General features: G+C 45.6%; 1 pseudogene, besides 1 other annotated feature; it reads left to right on the top strand.

Moving 5' to 3' along the window:
* Nucleotides 3,020-3,149: a silencer, noted in NCBI's record as "silent region_12117". NCBI's record gives its function as "represses an Ori minimal core promoter by ATAC-STARR-seq in GM12878 lymphoblastoid cells {active_cell/tissue: GM12878}" and the evidence as "EXISTENCE:reporter gene assay evidence [ECO:0000049][PMID:35858748]".
* RPL5P7 (ribosomal protein L5 pseudogene 7) lies at nt 5,616-6,611 on the top strand (annotated as a pseudogene).

The following is a 7,857-nucleotide window of genomic DNA, read 5'->3' as shown; positions in this document are numbered from 1 at the left end:
CCCAGGCTGGAGGGCAGTGGCATGATCTCGGCTCACTGCCATCTCCATCACCTGGGCTCAAGCCATCTTCCCACCTCAGCCTCCTGAGTAGCTGGGACTACAGGCACATGCCACCATGCCCGGCTAATTTTTGTAATTTTTGAAGAGACGGGGGTCTCCCTCTATTGCCCAGGCTGGTCTCAAACTCCTGAGCTCAAGCTATGTGCCTGCCTGGGCCTCTCAAATTGCTGGTGTTACAAGTGGGAGTCACTGCACCTGGCCTTAATCTTTGTTTTGATACATACTTAACATCTTGTTAAAGTCTAGGTATTTCAGTTTCAGTTGATAATCAATGCTGGTTGATAATCATGTTACATTTATTCCTCAGTTGATAATCATGTTGTAGTGGATAATCATGTTTCATTTATTCCTCTGAACATGACCTTGAAATGTTTGCAGATAAAGGCTCATGGAAGAATCCCAAACTTACAGGTTCCCAAATGTGTGATTAGGCAAGATAACAAGATGGACATTGAGAATGGGAGGCCTCATTCAGTTTCTTGCATCCATTCTGTTCACAACATGTAGAAATATGTACTTCTATCCCATAAAGGGTTTAATGAGAACCCAGGCAAAAATAATGGTTACTATAAATAAAATTCAAGAGTGAGGGCAAGGAAAAAAACACGAGTCAGGACCAGGAAAAGGTAAAAATGGATAGAGGGACAAATAGGTGAGTTCCAAAGTAGTGTGTATCCTCAGAATCAACTGTGGTATGGGAAAAAACATATGCTAATACTAGAATGTTTAGGTATGTTTAGCCAGTCACTCTTCATCCTAAAAGGAGAGGCATGAAGATTTAGTCATATTTAACATGGAAACTGGCATATGCTTCACTCTACCAGCCCACGACACCAAGGGAAGCCACAGGGCCCTGAGGAACGCGGGGCAGGAGCTCCACACCACAGGGAGGCAGGCAGGGCCACCTCCCTTGTTTGGCTGCTCTCGGCAGGCTGTGGTATCCTGCAGTACACTCATGCTTGCCTTCTCACTCATAGCCAAAGCAAAAATCTTTACAATGGTCTGTGAGGCCCAGCGGGATCTGGACTTGCGTGAAGTCTCTGAGCTCCTCTCCAACTCCTCTCGTTCATTTCTCTCCAGCCACTTGGGGCTCCTTGTTCCTTGCACAAGCCAGGCACACTCCTGCCCCAGGGCTTTTCCACTGGGTGTTGACTCTGCCTGCAACGCTCTTCCCCTAGATAACTGTCTAGCTGGCTCCGTCACTTCCTTTGGGTCTTGATTTAATGTCACCTGTGTCTGGTTCCATGGGTTTGCAGCTTATACTCTTCATGTTTATGTGAATCCTCACAGAAGGAGGATAGCGGCTGAAACTTATACTTCTGCACAGAAACTGCTTCTTTTACTTCACATGCTAGCATTATATTCAAGCAAATAAGAAAATAGCAAAGCTGGTGCTTCTCCTACTACTCAGACAAGTTCTTTGTTAGCCTCATTAGAAGTAAACGCAATGACAGTCCAAACTAGCTAGGTGTGAAAGAAGAAATTAAAACAATTTGAAATTATTAGAAGACGCTTTTTTTTTCTTTTTTTTTGAGATAGTTTCACTCTTGTTGCCCAGGCTGGAGTGCAATGGCATGATCTTGGCTCACTGCAACCCCTGCCTCCCGGGTTCAAATGATTCTCCTACCTCAGCCTCCTGAGTAACTGGGACTACAGGCATCTGCCACCACGCCCGGCTAATTTTTGTATTTTTAGTAGAGTCAGGGTTCGCCATGTTGGCCAGGCTGGTCTCGAACTCCTGACGTCAGGTGATCCACCCACCTCGGCCTCCCAAAGTGCTGGGATTACAGGTGTGAGCCACCATGCCCGGCCCCTAGAAGACCCTTTGAAATATGGATTTATATCCTCAGTCATTGACAACAAGCCTTGGCCTCTGTGTATATTACACTTTAAAATATTGGGTAATAATAGATGTACATGTATTTCATTTATTTATTTATTTAGGGACAAGGTCTCACTCTGCAGTGGCACAATCATAGCTCATTGCAGCCTCAACCTCTCAGGCTCAAGTGATGCTCCCTCCTCAGCCTCTCAAATAGCTGAGACTACAGGCATGTGCCACCATGCCCAGCTAATTTTTAATTTTTTTTGTAGAGATGGGATCTTGTTATGTTACCCAGGCTGGTGTCAAACTTCTGGATGCGAGGGATCCACCTGCTTCAGCCTCCCAAAGTGCCGCCATTACAGGCATGAGCCACCATGCCTGACCATGTATATGATTTATAAATAAATAAATAAATATACATCTAGTAGGGAGTTATCCTTAAATTTTTCCCTATGGGGACGGTGAGATTAAAAAATGGTTTTGAGATGAGTGGTATAGGCGATCAAGACCTCTGCTATATTTGAATTTTGAGTTTGTGAGCTACCCGAAGCTTTAAAAAATGAGAGACAGAGAGAGAGAGAGAGAGAGAGGCAGGGCGTGGTGGCTCATGCCTGTAATCCCAGCACTTTAGGAGGCCGAGGTGGGCGGATCATGAAGTCATGAGTTCGAGACCAGCCTGGCCAATATGGTGAAACCCCATCTCTACTAAAAATACAAAAATTAGCTGGGCATGGTGGTGCAAGTCTGTAGCCCCAGCTACTCAGGAGGCTGAGGCAGAAGAATCGCTTGAACCCGGGAGGCAGAGGTTGCAGTGAGCCAAGATTGCACCACTGCACTCCAGCCTCGGAGACAGAGTGAGACTCCGTTTCAAAAAAAGAAAAAAGAGAAATGAACAGTTAGGACATCATTTTCGTGCTCAGGAATGACAAAACAGACCAGACTGTTTCCTCAAGGGAAGTAAAGCTCGTCTCAGCTTTCAATAAAAAAAAAAAAGAAGAAATTTTTTAATGGGGTCTTTCCTGTGGGGACCTGGGTGATACAGTGGACAATATCCTCAACATTTTTCCCACAGCAGATGCTGTGAGTTTCATTTGACTGCTTCTCAAAGGACTTTTGAGCGTTCTGTAATTGTTGGCTGTTATTACTGTAAATGCTGTGTCAGTGATTGGGATCTGTGTAGTGCTAGGTCCATTCCACAACCAAACAGCTTAGTTTTCACTTTACCCTGTAACTGTGAACTGGTGGTTGGATGCTTGGCTGATCATGCTTCACCCTTTGCCTGGCATAGGCAGGCATTGGCTTGGGTGCTTCCCCTTTCTTGTGCTCTGATTTCCTTAAATCTGTGCAAAATGCTTGTCATAATATTGCCTGACAGTATATATCAGTCCATATTTTTCTTTATGAATGTTTATTCCACAATTCAATTTACATCATTGAAGCAGCAACCTTGTGATTTCTTTTCACTGTATTCTCCTGAGACTCCCAGCCAGGTCCCAATCTTCTGACCTTGTGGGCCTCTTCACTGAATGAGGTTTGCTCTCAAGTTGCCTAAGCTGAGACTTTCCTGTCTAACTGAAAACTTGCAACATTGAAGCAAAGAGCTGCTCCTGTGGGTTATATTTTGGGGCATTTCTTCCAGCTCAGATGGGAAATTTGAGATAAATTTGTGTAATGTTTTAGGAATTTCTCCCCTGCTCTCCCTACCACGGTACCCATCAGGTTCTTCCTATGCAACAATTATATGCACTGGCTTTCGAAAAGAGCCCCCAGGATGGGCCCTCTGGTGGAGGGGAGGGGGACCCACCTTCACGGATGCAGTTAGACATGCTAGTGCTTGTGGCCCAGTTGAGACATCTGGGACCTCATTAAGAACGAGGCTTAAGGAAGATGCCAAAGGGCTTTTAAAAGATATCTCTGAAACCACAAAAAACCTTCTGCTCTATATCCGCACCAGGTGAAACCAGGGCTCACCTTTCGCTGACACACACTGATGTAGCTACATTGGTTGTCTGGATGTGGAAATCCATCCATGTATGTCAGTACGTGGCCACTGCCACAGGCCCGCTTCCCGTGCGCTCTCCCTCACCCCAGCTGCTCTGGATGCCACAGGAAGCCTCCATTCCTGCCCCACGATCCAGAACCTCACCCCTGGATTAAAGTAGATGGTAAGGCTGACTTCTGCACGGTCTCCCTATGCTGTGGGCCCCGCCCAGGGGCCTCATGTGTCTCCCCTCTCAGAGTCTCTTTCCTGCTTGCCCCCCACATCCTTGATTCCTTTGAGGCTTCATTGTCTCTATTGGAGAGTGCTTTTGTCACTCACAGAAATGACCTGGGGCAAGTCCTCTGGCCTCAGATCATCCACTGCCAAATGGAGATGCTGTGTGAAGTTAAAGAAGAAAATGACTGAGGCCCTGGGCTTAGCATATGGGAACCTCACAGGAAGGTGAGCTCCCTCCTCTTCCTTCTCCTCTTCCTTCCCCTTCCCCCACTGTCTTTCTCACTATCATCTTCATGATCATCCTGCAACCTGGGACCCAGTTGTGCTCTCAGCCACTGTTTGCCAATCTCCATTAGGGCAGGAGAAGTGAATTAAAGGGCTGGTAGTGCTCAAGTGTGTTCAGGAAGGGTCAGGAGGGGCAGTTGAGAACTTTTATCCTTCCTGCTCCAACCTATCCACTTCTTGAGTCTTGGGGCATGTTCAGGAGAATGAGGGCGTGTTCCAAATTCCCCAGTGACTTCCGGGAAACCTTTCTAGTCTTTTTATCCTGTAAAAGATAGCTTCCTACATGTCTTCCCTTGCTTCTAAACACTTCTTTTGAAGCACAGTAGTGAATAAATGAAGGAAGCTCCCTGCTGGGCCTTCTCTATGCTCTCCTACCCCCTTACTTGTCTGTGTCTTGTAATTGTTATCTTTTCTGGCAAGTCTGATTTCAGAGGCTTTGTTAGGTGCTCTGACAGTGGTTCCCAAACTGGTCGGCACATCGGAATCACCTGGGTAGCTTAAGCAAGTGCAGATGCCTGGTTCTCACGCTCAGAGGTTCTGATTTGATGGGTGTGGGGTGCTGTCTGGGCAGCAGGAGCATTAAAAGCTCCCCAGGTGATTCTAAATGTGTGGCTGAGTCTAGAACCATGGTCACAGCCACCTAACACCAGAGGGGCACCAGGACACTGGAGAGATTCTTGCTGAGTCTTTTGGTGTGGGTGGGCTGTGGACCGATGAATGAATGGTTTAAGTTAATAAATTGTTATTTACTGCCTGTTTATCATTTCCTGAAGGCAGTGGTTCTCAAACTTTAAAGCATGTAAGAATTCCCTGAAAGGCTTTTGTAAACCCAGGTTACTGAGTCCCACGCCCAGATTTTCTGGTTTAACAGGTTTGAGGTGGTGCATTTGTAACCAGTTCCCTGGAAATGTTGTTGCTGTGGGCCCAAGGACCACACTTTGAGAACCACCGCCTTAAAGCGGTGTTTCTCAACCCTCCCTGGGCACTTGTTAATAACCCAAGATTCTTGGGTCCCACTCTAGCCTGCTGAATTGGCCTCTCCAAGAAAGGCGCCTGGACTATCTGGTCACCAGGCATCTTTTGGTTCTTATTGTCAGGGGGCCTGGAACCAATACCTTAAAACAATACCAAGTGAGGAACCAGACACACAAGCCTAGGTTAGAAAAACAAATGTTCGTATTTAGAGTTGACAGTGGTTTAGATGGTAATTCAAAGGAAAAAAAGCTCCCCACAACACCCCTAGTGATATTGGGCCCGCAGGTCTGTGTCGAGCTTCAGACATAGGTCTCTGTTCCTCAGGATGGCATTTGGTACAGTTGTCAGGAATAGGCCTACTTTAAACGATACCAAGTGAAATTTAGTAGATGAGGGGGTAAAACTGATTACTATGCTTGGAAACGCTTGGTAATACAGGATGAAAATAAGTACACGTCCAAATCCAGGATGATAGTTCATGTAACTCCTAACAGAGTTATCATTTGTCAGATTGCTTATGCCTGTATGCAAGGGGATATGAATGTCCGTGCACCTTATGCACACAAAGTACCAAAATATGGTGTGAAGCCTGGCCTGACAAATTATGCTTCAGCACGTCGTCCTGGCCTGCAGGCTTCTCCACACGTTTGGCATGGACGCCATCTAGGAAGGCCAAGAGGAGGTGACTGGAGATGAATACGATGTGGAGAGCATTGATGGTCAGCCTGATGCCTTCACCTACTATTTGGATGCAGGCCTTGCCAGAACCACCACTGACAGTAAAGTTTTTGGGGCCATGGAAGCTGTGGATGGAGGCTTGTCTATCCCACAAAGTACCAAACAATTCCCTGGATATGATTCTGAAAGCAAGGAATTTAATGCACAAGTGCATTAGAAGCACATCACAGGACAGAATGTTGCAGATTATAGGCATCACCTAATAGAAGATGAAGATCCTTATAGGAAACGGTTCTCACAATACATAAAGAACTGCATAACTCCAGACTTGGTGGAGGAGCTCATGCTGCTGTAGGAGAGACTTCACTCTCTGAGAAGCCCAAGAAAGAGGCTAAAAAGAAGAGGTGGGACCTGTCCCCCAGACTGTCCCCTGCCCAGAAGAATGATCAGGTAGCTCAAAAGCAGGCAGGCTTCCTTAGAGCTCAGGAGCTCTGAGATCTGCTGAGTGCTAAACTTAACAATTTTCTATGAGTATTTTTCAGATAAGACAATAAACGTATTGACGAAGCAGAGAAAAACAAAAGGCTAAAGTGAATATATTAGTAGAGCAATGCTGCAAGTGTTCTTTCCTCATATCATAGGACTTTCCCTTCTTTTCATCCCAAACTCAAGCTCTAGACATTACTATTGGGTCTTCCAGTGGATGGCATGAAATGAGTTAGGCAAAGCAATAAATCTCTTGCTGAATATTGGCCAGTATTGTAGGCCTTTAAAAAAACAGAATGTAATTGATCTCAACTTATTTTTGAACCCTATTCAACAAATGGTTTGGAGGCTGGGGAAGAATTTATATTTGAAAGCTAAAGACATATACCTCAATATTTTCTGGTTTAAAGCAGTTAGCTCAGGCACTTATTGGTCAATATTCAATCTTTGGGAGTTTCTCCCTCTTCCACCTTCTTCTAGTCAAGCTGGTTTCTGGAATAGGGAATGCTTAGGTGTCCAATGTGTCAAGGGAGAGGGGATAGCTGGTCCCTAATTCTGAGGGTCACCTGCCAGTGGTCTTGATGGCCCTGGCCACATTGCTCTGATTATTCCAGCAGCCCTCAGGCCTGCAGGTGATTTTTCTCCTGGGTTGGGAAGTCTTGTGCTAGGCTGAAAATAGGTCTGTTTCTTAGACCTTCAAATAGATGCTTTCTAACCCCTGCAGGAAATGTTCTGCTGATGGAGAGGTGGGAATCTGTATACACATTGGTAGATGTCTATGAATTTTCTTGGGCTTGGGAATTTAGATGACTTTCACTGTATTACAGAACCTGCTTTTTAGTGATTGACCAGGGACAGAATGCTGGTCACTGGCTTCCTGGAGCAGGATTTGGGATGCTGGCTCATCTCCTTTCTCTGTCCCCACCCTATGCCTGGCCATAACTCCATGCCATCTCTACATGGGGTTTCTTTCTATCTCCATATGCTGATCTTAGCTTCTCCAGATCCAAGAGACAATTTGTTATAGGAAGAACCAACAGAGTTGAGCCAAAATCTGCTGTCTTTAGACTCAGGTCTGACATACACCTCAATTCCTGAAGACTAGAAATGCCAACCCATGTAGAAAGCATTCTGTTCATGTATGCATTCATGCATCACGTATTTATGGAGCCTCTGCTGTGCCTTGGCATTGTGCTAGGCATTGTGTTGGGTACTGCTGACCACAGAAAGGTCCCAGACATAGGCATGCAAAAATTAAATTGCAATACCAGGCAGCCTTTGATTAAGATCAAAGTACTGGTGCTCTAAGTAAGTGTTAGATAAGAATGTG

The sequence above is a fragment of the Homo sapiens genome, chromosome 2 (assembly GCF_000001405.40).
Source record: "Homo sapiens chromosome 2, GRCh38.p14 Primary Assembly".
NCBI lineage: Eukaryota > Metazoa > Chordata > Mammalia > Primates > Hominidae > Homo > Homo sapiens.
Note: the sequence above shows the minus strand (reverse complement) of the source record. Positions and strands in the feature narration are given on the sequence as shown.